This window comes from Homo sapiens, chromosome 18 (assembly GCF_000001405.40).
Source record: "Homo sapiens chromosome 18, GRCh38.p14 Primary Assembly".
In the NCBI taxonomy this organism is placed as follows: Eukaryota; Metazoa; Chordata; class Mammalia; order Primates; family Hominidae; genus Homo; species Homo sapiens.
The window spans coordinates 27,761-47,030 of record NC_000018.10 but is presented as its reverse complement, the minus strand read 5'-3'; the positions used below and the strand labels follow the sequence as shown (position 1 = coordinate 47,030).

Here is a 19,270-nt window from a genome sequence, read left to right as displayed (position 1 = left end):
CCTTGGGCAGTGATGTGGTGGAAAACCTGTTGCTGAAGGCAAGCCTTGGCTTATCCCATATACCAAACTTCTAGGGGACCAGCTGGCCATGTTTCTGGAACGTTAAAAGGGGTCAGTGACCCTGGTGGACAATGTCCCCAGAGTCCCATCTCAGGGTAGGAATGTGGTCAGAGCTGGCTCTGAACCAGCAATGAAGGGTGGGCAAGTGGGACCCCAGGCACTCCATCATCACGATGGCCTGGGTGTGTTTGTGTGGCCTCATTCTCTTAATGAGGTGGGCATGGGATATCTGGCAGGGACTAGGCAGGAATCAAGCCCAGTGTCTGCTAACATGCACTGAATCCCAAGTAGAAGGGGATTAGGTCCTGGGGGCCGTAGATGGTGGTTGCTGGGCCTGTGTGCGCAGGGCAGTCCCTCCAAAGGCACAGATGGGGTTTCTGAACAGGACCTGGGGAGACAGGCAGGTGCTCACAAATACTGCTTCCCCCAACTGGCAACCAGTGAGAAAAATGCCTGAGTGGAGGTCTGACCTGCCCCAGTCTGGAGGGCTGATGCTCTCTGGAAAGGTGGCTAATGAGTACTGTCTGCTCTCTCCCTGTCCCCCACTCCAAAACTTCAGGGCAAAAATAATCCAAGATTGTCAGGATGAGCCTGGTGAGGGTGGCACCTTTGGGGACAGACCCTTCAGCCTGGCAGAGTCTCCTCCCCTGGCTTCTTGGGGAGCCTGGACTGCAAAGCCTGCTTTGGGGAAGCTGTCAAATGAGAGATGTGTGAGCTGGGTGCTGGGACGCATGCACGGACAGTGTTCTTCTCCCTGGCTCTTGTAGAACTTGTCCACGGCCTGTGTGATGGTCTCCTGGTAATTCCCACCCCCACCCCCAGCCCTATCGCACAGATAAGATGAAGCCAGCATAGCCTGGGGGTGGGCAGATGAACAGGCTCTACCCCAGGTCCCCTGGGAATGCCCATCTGCCTCCTACGTGTCAGGGAAAACAGGTGAGGCCCCTTCTTGTTCTCTGAATGTTGTCAATGGTCTATTGCAGCCAAATGGGAACAGGCAGGCAGGAGAGTCTCATCTCGAAAGAAGTGGCTCCTGGAAGCAGCTGGGAGGTGGGAGAGGTCCCCCATACTCCCCCATACTCCCCCACACTCCCCCATACTCGCCCAACCTGTTCTAAGAGCAGGAAAAGGGGCCTCTGTGACAGCCCTCCTCAGTGGCTCTCACTGTCTGAGGGGTGTCCTTGCCCAACCCAGGTGCACACCCATCTGAGATGGTCTCGCATGGACCTGGTTAGGAAGGTTCAGCTGCAGCAACCACTGGAACCTGCCCACACCTGGTGTCTCCACTCACGCGTGGGGCTAGATGTTCCTCCCTCCTGTAGTGGTACAGCCAGACTGGCAGAGGGGGCAAGTCACCACTGCAGTTCCCACCTGGGTCTGAGGGGGGTTCAGGCTTGGTGCCCATGTATTTCCCAATTACCTGGTTCCATCTGGGGGCTTCATGGACAGGAATGGTGCTTTTCCAGGCCTCTTTTCCACATGCCAGCTACAGGCCCAGGTTTCCCAAGTTTCTGGAGCCCCTCTTCCAGCCTGGCAAGCAAGGCGTGTTGTAGGGGAAAGACATCAAGCCTACAGGCAGCAGAACCTGTCTGGGTATATTCTCTCAACCTGGAGGCCCCTGGTTGTTTACCTCTTTGGGTGAGAGTCGGCTTAGGATCTCAACATTCTTGTAGGACTTCAGAACTGTACAGACAGGGGCCCAGGAGGGAACAGGGGCTGGGACTGGCAGCTAACCAGAGTGGTGGGGGTTGTAGGGCTCAGTTTGGTCTTGCAGGGAATTCAGGGAGGCTTGGATTTGCTGAAGCTCTAGAAGAGCTTGGGCTTGGATACGGAAACAGCATAGAGCAGGGGCCCTTCTGCACACTGGACTCTGAGTAGTTGCACCCTGGTGCATCCATAGGTGTTCCCCACCTGGAACACAGCTTTGGATAGAAGCCAGGAGAGCTGTGGAGGGAAGAGGAGGAGGAGGAGGGAGTCTCAGGACAGCCCCAGCATCCAGGCAGGGCCTCTGCAAGTTAGATGCAGATCCAGCCTGTTGGCCACTTAGCAGCTGCTTGGTTGGCTGCAGATCACCTGACCTCTGTTCACCAGTAAATGGGGGTTGCAGCAGCACTTACTTTCTGGGACTCCTGCAGCTTGAAGGGGCAGCACACACCACGTGCTGAGAAAGCGCCGAACTCAAGCAAGCTTCTCCAAGAGCACCACATCAGATTAACACCCAACCTGTACAGGACACCATTAAATCTCCCCACTCCTCATTCCAATGGAAGAAAAGGGAGTCTCTGTCCTAGGGGAGCAAGCACAGGCCTATCTATGCAGTGGGCACATGGCCCAGGTGGGGGAAAGGCCCTTGGATACGTGCTGGTTTCACCAACCATGCGTGGATTGGGTTTGGCCTGGACCCCTGTACCCCAGGAGGCCGGCAGCCCCCTGCATGGGAGAGGACTGGGAGGTGGGTGGGAGGGCTGAGCTTTGAGGGAAGCCATTATTTGGCCTCATGGGAAGTGGTGCAGGTGGTTGTTGGTGGCTCAGTTCTGCAGGACCTGGGTGATCACCCAAGGAGTGAAAATTGCCTTTTTATGAGAAATTGCCAAAATTGATGTAAGCTCATCAGTTGAAAAGGTGAGTAATGCTGACAGTTGGCTTCACCTGCCCCTTCCCCACAAGTAACTGGTGTTCAGAGGTGGATTTGGTTCCTTCCAAGCCTTTCCCATTTGCATATAGCTGTGTGCATGTACTTTTGTGTGTACACATACACGTTCCCTGGAGGGGTTACTTTTATTTTTTTATTTGGGGGGATAACTAGTGAGGCAGCCTGACACTTGCTGATCTTGTCTTTTAAGTGTGGAGTCCTCTATGGAGTGGGCATCAGGTACTTCCTAGCTGGCCTCTGCCAGCTGTTTGGCTGCCCCAGTTTCTGCCCTTCACAGACATGCCGGCCACCTGCTGTGACATTCAGTGGCCTTGTTTGCAGCTAGTGTGATGAGACAAGTGGATCAGGTACATTATAAACTGAAAAAGCACACAACATGCAGAGGGAAAGGATAAATGACCATGTGTGTACTGCTCTGCTGAAGTCCACATCACATGACTGAGATGACAAACATTTTTTCACCTAACATTTGGGCCCTGAGAAATGGCATCTATGTTTTACTTTTTATTTATGACAGAGTTAGAAGAAATACTACCAGGCTTTCTTTTCCATTTTCCCCAACTCCCACTTTACCCCCTCAATTTTACCTACCTCAGAGAGAAAGTGGAGCTCGCCTGGTTAATGACAGCCTGAAATTATTTGAGCCAGGTCACTGTGTAAAGGTCATACTGCTTCCGTTTCCTTGTGCATCACTTGCGCAGCTCACGTATTTCATAGCTCCCTGTATACAGGTAGATGTGTTGCCCTCCTAGCCGCTTTCTTGGTTTGATACATGCCTGAGATCATGTGGGAGCACTTAAGGTCTAGGCTCATGGGAAGACAGTTCTGCCCACCCCAGCTCATCTCTCCAGCTCAGCCTGCATGCCTGCCTTCCTCCATCTGATTCCAGAGTGGGGGATGGGAGGTCTCACACTGATCTCAAGTTTATGTGACTTTTTCCACCTCTGCTTTCCCAGACAGCCCTTGCTGTGGGACTTGTAAGGAGATTTGTGAAGTCAGTATCTACTTTTCTTGTGTGGGAGTTTTATAAATTAGAGCCCTGTAGGGGAATAAATGTTAGAGGTACTCCAAACCCCTAACATATAAATATCTAAGCCTGGCCCTTTTTTGGTGGTAAAATATATACAACATAAAACTTACCATTTTAACCATGTTTAAACGTACAGTTGAGTGGTCCAATATAATGTGTTGTACAACCATCTCCTTTATCCATATCTACAACTTCTTTTTCATCCTAAACTGAAACACCAAACCCATAAATAAGTCTTTGAATAGAAGACTGATGCATTTGACTCCATAAAAATTAAAACTTTATAGGCAAGAAAAATGCATCAAAGTCAAAAGTCAACAGACTGGGGAAACAGATCTGCAACATACATGACAGACAAAAAGCTAATTTGTGTAATATATATGTATATATATAGCTATATAGCTATCCTAAATTATTAAAAGACCAACAGCCAAATTGAAAAATGGACAAGGGACGTAAAGAAACAGTTCAAAGAAACATGTAGATTTTTAAATATTTGCTAATTTTTTTTCTGTGGTGAAATATGTATAAGAGAAAATTTAAGTACATTAAGTAGAAATACATTGTTGTGCAACTATCACCAGTATCCATTCCAAACCTGTGTTATCATCCCAAAGTGAAACTCTGTATCCACGGAACAATAGCTCCCCTTTCCCTTCCCCCCATCCCCTGGAAACCACATCCTACTTTCTGTGTCTATGAATTTAACTGCTCTAGGTACACTATAAAAGTGGAAAGCATGGAGTATTTGCATTTTTTTGTTTTAATGTTTTCAAGGTTTATGTTGTAGCATGTATTAGAATTTCTTTTCTTTTTAAGGCTGAATAATATTGTGTGTATCAATCATATTTGCTTATCCATTCATCTGTAGATGGAGATTTGGGCTTTTTCTACCCTTTGGCTCTTGTGAATGCTGCTATAAACATGGGTGTACAAATTCCCACTTTCAGTTTTTTGGGGTATATACCCAGATGTGGGATTACTGGATCATATGGTGATTACTGTTTTCCACAGTGGCTGTGCCATCTTACTTTCCCACCAGCAGTGTGCAGGAGTCCTGACTTCTCCACATCCAGCATTTGCTGTTCTCTGGGGCTTTGTTGTTTTGCTTTGCTGGTGGGGTTTTTTTGATGGCAGCTATGCTTACATGTGTCAGTTGGTATTGCATTGTGGTTTGGATTTACTTTTTTCTCATGATTAGTGATGCTGAGCACCTTATCCTGTGCTTACTGGTCATTTGCATATCTTCTTTAGAGAAATGTGTATTTTAAAACCTTTGCTCATGTTTAAATTTGATTGTTTTGTTGTTGTTGCTGAGGTCTTTATATAGCCCGGATATTAATTACTTACCAAATACATAATGTGTGAATATTTTCTTTCCCTTCATGAATTTATTTTTAATCTATTTTTTTAATTTTTAAAAATTTATTTATTTATTTATTATTTTTTATGTTATATATATATTTTTTCTTTTATTATTATACTTTAAGTTTTAGGGTACATGTGCACATTGTGCAGGTTATTTACATATGTATACATGTGCCACGCTGGTGCACTGCACCCACTAACTGGTCATCTAGCATTAGGTATATCTCCCAATGCTATCCCTCCCCCCTCCCCCCACCCCACAACAGTCCCCAGAGTGTGATGTTCCCCTTCCTGTGTCCATGTGATCTCATTGTTCAATTCCCACCTATGAGTGAGAATATGCGGTGTTTGGTTTTTTGTTCTTGCGATAGTTTACTGAGAATGATGATTTCCAGTTTCATCCATGTCCCTACAAAGGACATGAACTCATCATTTTTTATGGCTGCATAGTATTCCATGGTGTATATGTGCCACATTTTCTTAATCCAGTTTATCATTGTTGGACATTTGCGTTGGTTCCAAGTCTTTGCTATTGTGAATAGTGCCGCAATAAACATACGTGTGCATGTGTCTTTATAGCAGCATGATTTACAGTCCTTTGGGTATATACCCAGTAATGGGATGGCTGGGTCAAATGGTATTTCTAGTTCTAGATCCCTGAGGAATCGCCACACTGACTTCCACAATGGTTGAACTAGTTGACAGTCCCACCAACAGTGTAAAAGTGTTCCTATTTCTCCACATCCTCTCCAGCACCTGTTGTTTCCTGACTTTTTAATGATTGCCATTCTAACTGGTGTGAGATGGTATCTCATTGTGGTTTTGATTTGCATTTCTCTGATGGCCAGTGATGATGAGCATTTTTTCATGTGTTTTTTGGCTGCATAAATGTCTTCTTTTGAGAAGTGTCTGTTTGTGTCCTTTGCCCACTTTTTGATGGGGTTGTTTGTTTTTTTCTTGTAAATTGGTTTGAGTTCATTGTAGATTCTGGATATTAGCCCTTTGTCAGATGAGTAGGTTGCAAAAATTTTCTCCCATTTTGTAGGTTGCCTGTTCACTCTGATGGTAGTTTCTTTTGCTGTACAGAAGCTGTTTAGTTTAATTAGATCCCATTTGTCAATTTTGGCTTTTGTTGCCATTGCTTTTGGTGTTTTAGACATGAAGTCCTTGCCCATGCCTATGTCCTGAATGGTATTGCCTAGGTTTTCTTCTAGGGTTTTTATGGTTTTAGGTCTAACGTTTAAGTCTTTAATCCATCTTGAATTGATTTTTGTATAAGGTGTAAGGAAGGAATCCAGTTTCAGCTTTCTACATATGGCTAGCCAGTTTTGCCAGCATCATTTATTAAATAGGGAATCCTTTCCCCATTGCTTGTTTTTCTCAGGTTTGTCAAAGATCAGATAGTTGTAGATATGCGGCATTATTTCTGAGGGCTCTGTTTTGTTCCATTGATCTATATCTCTGTTTTGGTACCAGTACCATGCTGTTTTGGTTACTGTAGCCTTGTAGTATAGTTTGAAGTCAGGTAGTGTGATGCCTCCAGCTTTGTTCTTTTGGCTTATGATTGCCTTGGCAATGCGGGCTCTTTTTTGGTTCCATATGAACTTTAAAGTAGTTTTTTCCAATTCTGTGAAGAAAGTCATTGGTAGCTTGATGGGGATGGCATTGAATCTGTAAATTACCTTGGGCAGTATGGCCATTTTCACGATATTGATTCTTCCTACCCAAGAGCATGGAATGTTCTTCCATTTGTTTGTATCCTCTTTTATTTCATTGAGCAGTGGTTTGTAGTTCTCCTTGAAGAGGTCCTTCACATCCCTTGTAAGTTGGATTCCTAGGTATTTTATTCTCTTTGAAGCAATTGTGAATGGGAGTTCACTCATGATTTGGCTCTCTGTTTGTCTGTTGTTGGTGTATAGGAATGCTTGTGATTTTTGTACATTGATTTTGTATCCTGAGACTTTGCTGAAGTTGCTTATCAGCTTAAGGAAATTTTGGGCTGAGACAATGGGGTTTGCTAGATATACAATCGTGTCATCTGCAAACAGGGACAATTTGACTTCCTCTTTTCCTAATTGAATACCCTTTATTTCCTTCTTCTGCCTAATTGCCCTGGCGAGAACTTCCAACACTATGTTGAATAGGAGTGGTGAGAGAGGGCATCCCTGTCTTGTGCCAGTCTTCAAAGGGAATGCTTCCAGTTTTTGCCCATTCAGTATGATATTGGCTGTGGGTTTGTCATAAATAGCTCTTATTATTTTGAGATACATCCCATCAATACCTAATTTATTGAGAGTTTTTAGCATGAAGGGTTGTTGAATTTTGTCAAAGGCCTTTTCTGCATCTATTGAGATAATCATGTGGTTTTTGTCTTTGTCTCTGTTTATATGCTGGATCGCATTTATTGATTTGTATATATTGAACCAGCCTTGCATCCCAGGAATGAAGCCCACTTGATCATGGTGGATAAGCTTTTTGATGTGCTGCTGGATTTTTTTTGCAAGTATTTTATTGAGGATTTTTGCACCAATGTTCATCAAGGATATTGGTCTAAAATTCTCTTTTTTGGTTGTGTCTCTGCCAGGCTTTGGTATCAGAATCATGCTGGCCTCATAAAATGAGTTAGGGAGGATTCCCTCTTTTTCTATTGATTGGAATAGTTTCAGAAGGAATGGTACCAGTTCCTCCTTGCACCTCTGGTAGAATTCGGCTGTGAATCCATCTGGTCCTGGACTCTTTTTGGTTGGTAAGCTATTGATTATTGCCACAATTTCAGATCCTGTTATTGGTCTATTCAGAGATTCAACTTCTTCCTGGTTTAGTCTTGGGAGAGTGTATGTGTTGAGGAATTTATCCATTTCTTCTAGATTTTCTAGTTTATTTGCGTAGAGGTGTTTGTATTATTCTCTGATGGTAGTTTGTATTTCTGTGGGATCGGTGGTGATATCCCCTTTATTATTTTTTTATTGCATCTATTTGATTCTTCTCTCTTTTTTTCTTTATTATTCTTGCTAGTGGTCTATCTATTTTGTTGATCCTTTCAAAAAACCAGCTCCTGGATTCATTAATTTTTTGAAGGGTTTTTTGTGTCTCTCTTTCCTTCAGTTCTGCTCTGATTTTAGTTATTTCTTGCCTTCTGCTAGCTTTTGAATGTGTTTGCTCTTGCTTTTCTAGTTCTTTTAATTGTGATGTTAGGGTGTCAATTTTGGATCTTTCCTGCTTTCTCTTGTGGGCATTTAGTGCTGTAAATTTCCCTCTACACACTGCTTTGAATGCGTCCCAGAGATTCTGGTATGTTGTGTCTTTGTTCTCCTTGGTTTCAAAGAACATCTTTATTTCTGGCTTCATTTTGTTATGTACCCAGTAGTCATTCAGGAGCAGGTTGTTCAGTTTCCATGTAGTTGAGTGGTTTTGAGTGAGATTGTTAATCCTGAGTTCTAGTTTGATTGCACTGTGGTCTGAGAGATAGTTTGTTATAATTTCTGTTCTTTTACATTTGCTGAGGAGAGCTTTACTTCCAAGTATGTGGTCAATTTTGGAATAGGTGTGGTGTGGTGCTGAAAAAAAATGTATATTCTGTTGATTTGGGGTGGAGAGTTCTGTAGATGTCTATTAGGTCTGCTTGGTGCAGAGCTGAGTTCAATTCCTGGGTATCCTTGTTGACTTTCTGTCTTGTTGAGCTGTCTAATGTTGACAGTGGGGTGTTAAAGTCTCCCATTATTAATGTGTGGGAGTCTAAGTCTCTTTGTAGGTCACTCAGGAGTTGCTTTATGAATCTGGGTGCTCCTGTATTGGGTGCATATATATTTAGGATAGTTAGCTCTTCTTGTTGAATTGATCCCTTTACCATTATGTAATGGCCTTCTTTGTCTCTTTTGATCTTTATTGGTTTAAAGTCTGTTTTATCAGAGACTAGGATTGCAACCCCTACTTTTTTTGTTTTCCATTTGCTTGATAGATCTTCCTCCATCCTTTTATTTTGAGTCTATGTGTGTCTCTGCACGTGAGATGGGTTTCCTGAATACAGCACACTGATGGGTCTTGACTCTTTATCCAATTTGCCAGTCTGTGTCTTTTAATTGGAGCATTTAGTCCATTTACATTTAAAGTTAATATTGTTATGTGTGAATTTGATCCTGTCATGATGATGTTAGCTGGTTATTTTGCTCGTTAGTTGATGCAGTTTCTTCCTAGTCTCGATGGTCTTTACATTTTGGCATGATTTTGCAGTGGCTGGTACCGGTTGTTCCTTTCCATGTTTACTGCTTCCTTCAGGAGCTGTTTTAGGGCAGGCCTGGTGGTGACAAAATCTCTCAGCATTTGCTTGTCTGTAAAATATTTTATTTCTCCCTCACTGATGAAGCTTAGTTTGGCTGGATATGAAATTCTGGGTTGAAAATTCTTTTCTTTAAGAATGTTGAATATTGGCCCCCACTCTCTTCTGGCTTGTAGGGTTTCTGTTGAGAGATCAGCTGTTAGTCTGATGGGCTCCCCTTTGAGGGTAACCCGACCTTTCTCTCTGGCTGCCTTTAACATTTTTTCCTTCATTTCAACTTTGGTGAATCTGACAATTATGTGTCTTGGAGTTGCTCTTCTCGAGGAGTATCTTTGTGGTGTTCTCTGTATTTCCTGAATCTGAATGTTGGCCTGCCTTGCTAGATTGGGGAAGTTCTCCTGGATAATATCCTGCAGAGTGTTTTCCAACTTGGTTCCATTCTCCCTGTCACTTTCAGGTACACCAATCAGACGTAGATTTGTTCTTTTCACATAGTCCCATATTTCTTGGAGGCTTTGCTCATTTCTTTTTATTCTTTTTTCTCTAAACTTCCCTTCTCGCTTCATTTCATTCATTTCATCTTGCATCGCTGATACCCTTTCTTCCAGTTGATCGCATCGGCTCCTGAGCCTTCTGCATTCTTCACGTAGTTCTCGAGCCTTGGTTTTCAGCTCCATCAGCTCCTTTAAGCACTTCTCTGTATTGGTTATTCTAGTTATACATTCTTCTAAATTTTTTTCAAAGTTTTCAACTTCTTTGCCTTTGGTTTGAATGTCCTCCCGTAGCTCAGAGTAATTTGATCGTCTGAAGCCTTCTTCTCTCAGTTCATCAAAGTCATTCTCCATCCAGCTTTGTTCCATTGCTGGTGAGGAACTGCATTCCTTTGGAGGAGGAGAGGCGCTCTGCTTTTTAGAGTTTCCAGTTTTTCTGTTCTGTTTTTTCCCCGTCTTTGTGGTTTTATCTACTTTTGGTCTTTGATGACGGTGATGTACAGATGGGTTTTTGGTGTGGATGTCCTTTCTGTTTGTTAGTTTTCCTTCTAACAGACAGGACCCTCAGCTGCAGGTCTGTTGGAGTACCCTGCCGTGTGAGGTGTCAGTGTGCCCCTGCTGGGGGGTGCCTCCCAGTTAGGCTGCTCAGGGGTCAGGAGTCAGGCACCCACTTGAGGAGGCAGTCTGCCCATTCTCAGATCTCCAGCTGTGTACTGGGAGAACCACGGCTCTCTTCAAAGCTGTCAGACAGGGACATTTAAGTCTGCAGAGGTTACTGCTTTTTGTTTGTCTGTGCTCTGCCCCCAGAGGTGGAGCCTACAGAGGCAGGCAGGCCTCCTTGAGCTGTGGTGGGCTCCACCCAGTTCGAGCTTCCTGGCTGCTTTGTTTACCTAAGCAAGCCTGGGCAATGGCGGGCACCCCTCCCCCAGCCTCGCTGCCACCTTGCAGTTTGATCTCAGACGGTTGTGCTAGCGATCAGCGAGACTCCATGGGCGTACGACCCTCCCAGCCAGGTGTGGGATATAATCTCATGGTGCGCCGTTTTTTTAAGCCCGTCAGAAAAGCACAGTATTCGGGTGGGAGTGACCCGATTTTCTAGGTGCTGTCTGTCACCCCTTTCTTTGACTAGGAAAGGGAACTCCCTGACCCCTTGCGCTTCCCGAGTGAGGCAATGCCTCACCCTGCTTCGGCTTGTGCACGGTTCGTGCACCCACTGACCTGCGCCCACTGTCTGGCACTCCCTAGTGAGATGAACCCAGTACCTCAGATGGAAAAGCAGAAATCACCCGTCTTCTGCATCGCTCACGCTGGGAGCTGTAGACCAGAGCTGTTCCTATTCCATTTTCAATCTATTGATTGTATCTTCAGATACATAACAGCTTGTCACTTTGATGAAGTTCTTTTTATGTATTTTTGGTGTTGTTGTTGTCTGTGCTTTCACTGTCATATCCAAGAAATTATTGCCAGATTCTATGTTATGAAACATTTTTCCTATGTTTCTTCTAAGGGTTTTATAGTTTTAGCTCTTACAATTAGATGTTTAGTCCATTTTAAATTAAGTTTTTTATATGGTGTAAAATAAGGCTCCAACTGTATTGTTTTCCATGTAAATATTCATTCTTAACACCGTTTAAAAATATACTGTCCTTTCCCCATAGTTTTGACTCCCTTGTTAAAAATCATGACTGTGTTTTTTGGTTCTTTATTTCTATTGCATTGGTCTTTATGTCTGTCTCTATGGTGGTACAGCATTGTTTTGGGTACTGAAGCATTGCAGTAAGTTTGAAACCAGGAGGTGTTAGTCCTCTAATTTTGTTAGTTTTTAAGATTGATTTGGCTACTTGGGGTTTTTTGAGATTTCATCTGAATTTTAGAATAGGTTTTTGTATTTTTGCAAATATTGGAATCTTTATAGTGATTTTATTGAATCTGTAGATGACTATTGATAACAATGGAATCTTGATGAGGTTTTGTCTTCCAGTCCATAAACACATGATGTCTTTTCATTTATTTGTGTTATCTTTAATACTTTCCTGCAATGTTTATACTTTTGCTGTACAGGTTTCTCATTTCCTTGGTTAAATTGGTTTCTAAGTATTTTATTCTTTTGATGCTATCATAAATGATACTGTTGTCTTGATTTCTTCTTCAGATGGTTTGTTATTGTAGAAATACGACCGATTTTTGTGTGTTGATTTTGTATCCTGCAGTTTTGCTGAATGTTATTTATTGCATCTGATAGTTTATCTCACAGAAACTAAAAGATTTTTAATATACAAGGTTATGTCATCTGCGAACAGAAAATTTTACTTTTTTAAAAATTGGAATATGTTTTATTGTTTTACTTGCCTTATTGTTTTAACTAACTAGAACCTTCAGTACTATATTAAATAGAAGTAGTAAAAGCAGGCATCCTTGATTTTGCTCTTAGGGTAAAAGCTTTCAGTCTTTCATTATAATGTTAGCTGTGTATTTTTTTAATATAACCTTATGTTAAGGTGTTTTATTCCTTTTTATAGCTTATTAAGTATATTTTATCATGAATGTGGGTTAAATTTTGACAAATTCTTTTTCTTCTTTGATTAAGATGATCACATGAGGGTTTTTTCCTTCTTTATGTTAATGTGATATGCTGATTTTCATGTGTTGGAACATACTTTTATTTCAGGAGTCAATTATACTCATTCATAGTGTATAATCCTTTTAATGTACTGCTAAATTTGAATTGCTGGTATTTTGTTGAGGATTTTTGCATCAGCATTTGTAAGGGATGTTTGTTTGTAGTTTTCTTATGGTGCCTTTGTCTGACTTGGTGTCGGGGTAATACTGTCCGCATAGAATATGTTAGAAAATGTTACCTCCTCTTCAACGTTTTGAAAAAGTTTGAGAAAAACTGGTGTTAATTCTGCTTTAAACGTTGGGTAGATTTCAACAGTGAAGCCATCTTGTCCAGGCTTTTCTTTGTTGCTGGGTTTTTGATTACTGATGTCATCTTCTTGGTGAATCTCCTTGCTGAATAGGTTTATTCAACTTTTCTGATTCAGTCTTAGTAGGTTTTTTGTTTCTAGGAATTTGTTCATTTTATTTAGGTTATTCAATTTTTTAGTGTATAGTTCCTTATGGTACTCTCATACATCCTTTTTTTACTCCAAAAATTTGTTAGTAATGTACCCATTTTATTTTTGAGTTTAGTAATTTGAGTATTCCCTTTTTTTCCTTAGTCAATCTAGATAAAATTTTGTCAGTTTTGATCTTTTTCAGAGAACAAACTTGGTTTTGTTGATTTTTCATATTGTTTTTCTCTTCTCTATTTCACTTATTTCCACTGCTGTCTTTATCATTTTTAAAATTTTGCTAGCTTTTAGTTGTCCCTCTTTTAGTAGTCCCTCTTTTTCCCTCTGTTTCTAGTTCCTTAGGAGTAAAGTTGTTTATTCGGTATCTTATTTTTTATCATTTATAGCTATAAATTTTTCCCTTATGGTATTGTTTTTGATGTATCTCTTTCAGTATTTCATATTTTTAATTTGTCTCTAGATATTTTCTATTTTCTCTTGTGATTTCTTTTATCCTTCCTTGAGTGTTTATACCTATATTTTCAGACATAAAATGTGAAACCTACAAAATTTTCTTGATTTGTTACAGTTTTATTTGTTGTAAGTTTTTATTTTAGAATTAAATGTGTGTATCAACATTTGTTATGTTCTCATAAGCTTTGTAATACAGGGAGATTCCTGGTCCACATATATAAGCCTCTACATGAATATTTTTTTGAAGCATTTAACCTTCTGTTTTAATATTTCAAAGGCCTAAATGAAATTGAGATTTTGGTTTCTGAGATGAAATCATGGTAGGTGATTGATAAATGCTTAAAAATTAGCCAAAACTTAAAATTAAGTTAAAGTTTACCTTCAAGATTCAACCTGAATGAGTTGCCCTGTATTGCTGGTAGTAAAAAATAAGTCTTTAATGGTATAAAAGCAAATTTCAGAGAATGTTTTTTTCCCCATTGACATCTAAATTAAAAGCTGTAAAAAATTTTGATTGCCTTATGCATTTTTTACTTTAGAATTCCAACTTTTTCTGGTTAAAATTATTCCAAATAGATTCCTGTGTATTTGAAAGACAATTTTTTAGTTGAAATGCTTAAGCAGTTAAATAAGGCCATGAAAGTTTCTTGAACTTGTGGGAATCCATGAGAAAATCTGACATTATGTTCTATTCTCTTGGAAGGTAGAAATATCATTTGACTTCTGTTTTGCTGACAAGAAATGTGGTCCTGAGGTCCTGAGCAAGGCTACCTGGGATAATGACCTCACACATGGAAAACGCTGGAGCCCATCTGTCTCCAATCTGCTGTTTTCCAAAAATTAGGGAACTTCAGTTTTCCCTTTGATACTCTCTGTTTCTAACAACCCCAACGCCAGGGCTGTCCTGCTTCTACAAGTGACAATGACAAATATAGGCCTGAAGGAAGATGAGCTGATGGCATTCCCAGCTTACTACCACTCCTTGGGGGCCTTATCTCACATATGTTGATTCAATTCATAGACTCAGGTGGGTGAGGATCTATTGTTCAGCTACATTAGAAGTGACTGCTTAAGACTCTGGTGTGTGGTGAAATGAGGCAGAATTTTCTCAATGGAGTGTTGGGAGAAGTTTCTCCTTATAATTACCGTCTTACTATCACTAAATCATAGCTCAAATAAGGAAATTATTCAAGAAGAAATAGAAATGTAATCTTATGAAGACATAAATTTAGAGATTTGTGGAAAGCCCTTCATAATTTCATGGTGTTCTGTTTGAGCTGGGATTATAGTTGATATTTCATTATAATATATTAGCTGTTCTAGACTTTATGCATTTATGTAAAGTTTTCTTTGTTGTACTTTAAGTTCTGGGATACATGGGCAGAGCATGCAGGTTTGTTCCATAGGTATACACGTGCCATGGTGGTTTGCAGCACCCATCAACCTGTCATCTACATTAGGTATTTCTCCTAATGCTGTTCCTCCCCCAGCCTCCCACCCTTTGACAGGCCCCAGTGTGTGATGTTCCCCTCCCTGTGTCCATGTGTTCTCATTGTTCAACTCCCACTTATGAGTGAGAACATGCAGTGTTTGGTTTTCTTTTCTTCTTTTTCTTTTTCTTTCTTTTTTTTTTTGAGACAAAATTTCACTCTTGTTGACCAGGTTGGAGTGCAATGGCATGATCTTGGGTTACCGCAACCTCTGCCTCCCGGGTTCAAGTGACTCTCCTGCCTCAGCCTCCCAAGTAGCTAGGATTACAGGCATGTGCCAAAATGCCTGGCTAATTGTGTGTATTTTTAGTAGAGATGGGGTTTCTCCATGTTGGTCAGGCTGGTCCCAAACTCCTCACCTCAGGTGATCTGCCCACCTTTGCCTCCCAAAGTTCTGAGACTACAGGCATGAGCCACTGCTCCTGGCCTGGTTTTCTTTTCTTGTGTTAGTTTGCTGAGAATGATGGTTTCCAGCTTCATCCATGTCCCTGGAAAGGACATAAATGTGTAGTATTCCATGGTGTATATGTGCCACATTTTCTTTATCCACTTTATCATTGATGGGAATTTGGGTTGGTTCCAAGTCTTTGCTATTGTGAACAGTGCTGAAATAAACATACAGTGCATGTGTCTGTATAGTATAATAATTTATAATGCTTTGGGTATATACCCCGTAATGGGATTGCTGAACCTTGAGGAATTGTCACACTGTCTTCCATAATGACTGAACTAATTTACACTCCTACCAACAGTGTAAAAGCATTCCTATTTCTCCACAGCCTCATCAGCATCTGTTGTTTCCTGACTTTTTAATAATCACCATTCTAACTGGTGTGAGATGGTATCTCACTGTGGTTTTGATTTGCATTTATCTAATGACCAGTGATGATGAGCTTTTTTTCATATGTTTGTTGGCTGCATAAATGTCTTCTTTTGAGAAGTGTCTGTTCATTTCCTTTGCCCACTTTTTGATGGGGTTGTTTTTTTTCTTGTAAATTTGTTTAAGTTCTTTGTAGATTCTTGATATTAGCCCTTCGTCAGACAGATTGCAAAAATTTTCTCCCAATCTTTTGGTTGTCTGTTCACTCTGATGAGTTTATTTTGCTGTGCAGATGCTCTTTAGTTTAATTAGATCCCATTTGTCAATTTTGGCTTTTGTTTCCATTGCTTTTGGTGTTTTAGTCATAAAGTCTTTGCCGATGCCTATGTCCTGAATGGTATTGCCTAGGTTTTCTTCCAGCGTTTTTATGGTTTTAGGTCTTACGTTTAAGTCTTTATTCCATCTTGAGTTATTTTTTTGTATAAGGTATAAGGAAGATGTCCAGTTTCAGTTTTCTGCATATGGCTAGCCAGTTTTCCCAACATGATTTATTAAATAAGGAATCCTTTCCCCATTGCTTGTGTTTGTCAGGTTTGTCAAAGATCAGATGGTTGTATGTGTATGGGCTTATTTCAGAGTTCTGTATTCTGTTTCATTGGTCTATGTGTCTGTTTTTGTACAGTACCATGCTGTTTTGTTTACTGTAGCCTTATAGTATAGTTCGAAGTTGGGTAGTGTGATGCCTCCAGCTTTGTTCTTTTTGCTTAGAATTGTCTTGGCTATTTGGGCTCTTTTTTGGTTCATGAGAATTGTAAAATAGTTTCTTCTAATTCTGTGAAGAATGTCATTGGTAGTTTAATGGGAATAGCATTGAATTCTTTTATAAATTACTTTGAGCACTATGGACATTTTCATGAATTAATTCTTCCGTATCCATGAGCATGGAATGCTTCTCCATTTGTTTGTGTCCTATCTGATTTCTCTGGGCAGTGGTTTGTAGTCCTCCTTGAAGTGGTTTTTCACTTCGCTTGTTAGCTGTATTCCTATGTATTTTATTCTCTTTGTAGTAATTGTGAATGAAGTTCATTCATGATTTGGCTACTTGCCTGTTGTTGGTGTATAGGAATACTAGTGATTTTTGCACATTGATTTTGTATCCTGAGATTCTGTTGATGTGGTTCATCAGCTTAAGAAGCTTTTGGGCTGAGATGATGGGGTTTTCTAGATACAGGATCATGTCATCTGCAAACAAAGATAATTTGACTTCCTCTCTTCCTATTTAAATGCCTTTATTTCTTTCTCCTGCCTGACTGCCCTGGCCAGAAATTCCAGTACTACGTTGAATAGGAGTGGTGAGAGAGGCCATCCTTGTCTTGTGCCAGTTCTCAAGGGGAACGCTTCCAGGTTTTGCTCATTCAGTATGATATTGGCTGTGGGTTTGTCATATGTGGCTCTTATTATTTTGAGGTGTGATCCTTCAATAGCTAGTTTATTGAGAGTTTTTGACATGAAGGGATGTTGACTTTTATTGAAGGCCTTTTCTGCATCTGTTGAGATAATCCTGTTGTTTTTATGTTTAGTTCTGTTTATGTGAGGAATTACATTTATAGATTTGCCTGTGTTGAACCAACCTTGTATCCCAAGGATGAAGCCATCTTGATCGTGGTGGGTCAAGGTACCCTTATCAGTCTTAAGTTCAGTCTTTTTACATAATCCCATATTTCTTGAAGGTTTTATTCATTCTTTTTTGGTCTTTTTTCTCTATTGTTCTCTGTTCTTTTTTCTCTATTCTTCTCTTCCTGTCTTAGACAGATGGTTTTGAAGCTCTGAGATTCTTTCCTCCACTTGGCCTTTTCTGCTAGTGATACTTGTGGTTGCATTGCGAAGTTCTCGTGTTGTGTTTCTCACCTCCATCAGGTCAGTTATGTTCCTCTCTAAACTGAATATTCTGGTTATCACCTTCTGTAATTTCTTTTATGATTTTTAGCTTCCTTGCATTAAGTTAGAATGTGCTCCTTTAGCTCAGTGTGGTTTGTTATTACCCACCTCCTAAAGCCTACTTTTGTCAATTCAGCCATCTCAGCCTGGGGTCCGTTCTGTGCCCTTGCTGGGGAGGTGTTGTTGTCATTTAGAGGAGAAGAGGCATTCTGCCTTTTTGAGTTTTCAGCGTTTTTGTGTTATGTTTTGTCATCTTTGTGGGCTTATCTACCTTTGATTTTTGACATTGCTGACCTTTGAATGGGGTTTTTGTGGGGTCTTTTTTGTTGATGTTGTTGCTTTCTGTTTGTTTTTAACTGTCAGACCACTCTTCCCTAGGTCTGCTGTGGTTTTCTGGGGGTCCACTCTGGACCCTCATCACCTCAGTCTCTCCTGCACCTGGAGGTATCACCAGTGAAGGCTGCGAAACAGCAAAGATGGCGGCCTGTTCCTTCCTCTGGGAGCACCAGTCCAAGGAGGTACCGACTTGATGCCAGCTGGAACGCTCCTGTAGGAGGTGTCTGGAGACCCCTGTTGGGAGGTCTTGCCCAGTCAGGAGAAACAGGATCAGGGACTGCTTAAAGAAGCAGTCTGGCTGCCCTTCGGCAGAGCAGGTGTGCTGTGGTGACTCCCAGGAGTCTCCAGAGCCAGCAGGCTGGAAAGGCTCAGTCGGCTGAACTGGGGAGACAGCAGCTACCCCTCTCCCTGGGGACTTCATCCCAGGGAGAAATCAGAGTTCTGTCCATAGAACTCTGGCTGGAGTTGCTAAAATTCCGATGGGGAGGCCCTGTCCGGTGAGGAGGGATGGATTTCGGTCTCACTTAAAGAAGCAGCCCGGCCACGGTCAGTCACAGCAGCTGTGCTGTGTTATGGGGGACTCCTCCTGGTCCCTGGTGCCAGCAGGCTAGAGCGGCCAACTCAAACCACAGATAGAGTGGCTGCCCTACCCCGGGAACCCGGTCCATCTCCGGCTGTCTCCAGCCTGCTGCTGCTGGCCAGCTGGAATTCCAAGCCAATGGGACTTGTGAGGTGCTGTGGGAGTGGGGCCTCAGAATGATGTCACTTGGCTCCCTGGATTCAGCCCCCTTCCTAGGGGAATGCACGGATGTATCTTCCGCTTTGCTGGAATTCTCGGGGCAGAGGATGCAAAACTCCTGGGCTTTCACGCATGCCCCAGTGAGCCAGCGAGCATTCCGCCCAGACTCCACACAGCTCTGTGCTTCAGACCCAAGGCCATGGCTGAGCTCACCAGGGGACCTCCTGATCTGCAGGTTGCAAAGATCCGTGGGAGAAGCACGGTTTCCCGGGCAGAGTCGCACAATCCCTCACCGCCTCCCTTGGCTGCGAGTGGGGGCGCCCCTAGCTCCGTGCCACACCTGGGTGGGCCATCGCCCCACTTGTTTTCCTCGCTCTCTGTGGGTCGAGCTGTCTGCCTAGTCAGTCCCAATGCAAGAACCTGGATACCTCAACTGAAGGTGCAGAATTCACTCGCAGTTTTTACTGCTCTCCGTGAGAGCCGCAGGCCACAGCTGCTTCTAATAGGCCAGCTTGGCCCCATCTAAAGTATGATTTCTTAAT

General features: G+C 42.0%; 1 long non-coding RNA gene across 4 annotated transcripts; it reads right to left on the bottom strand.

Moving 5' to 3' along the window:
• Positions 1–14: 14 nt before the first annotated feature.
• On the bottom strand, positions 15–4,174 carry LOC105371950 (uncharacterized). 4 transcript variants are annotated; one of them, XR_002958209.2, is made up of 6 exons: positions 3,854–4,174; positions 3,305–3,489; positions 2,178–2,283; positions 1,691–2,004; positions 1,481–1,590; positions 15–94 (listed from the first exon to the last, which is right to left on the bottom strand). It is a non-coding gene; the product is annotated as an uncharacterized LOC105371950 (long non-coding RNA). The 4 variants fall into 4 exon arrangements; XR_935077.3 differs by lacking the exons at positions 15–94; positions 1,691–2,004 and adding an exon at positions 112–448; XR_007066263.1 differs by lacking the exons at positions 15–94; positions 1,691–2,004 and adding an exon at positions 112–448 and having other exon boundaries at positions 3,305–3,434.
• Positions 4,175–19,270: the final 15,096 nt, after the last annotated feature.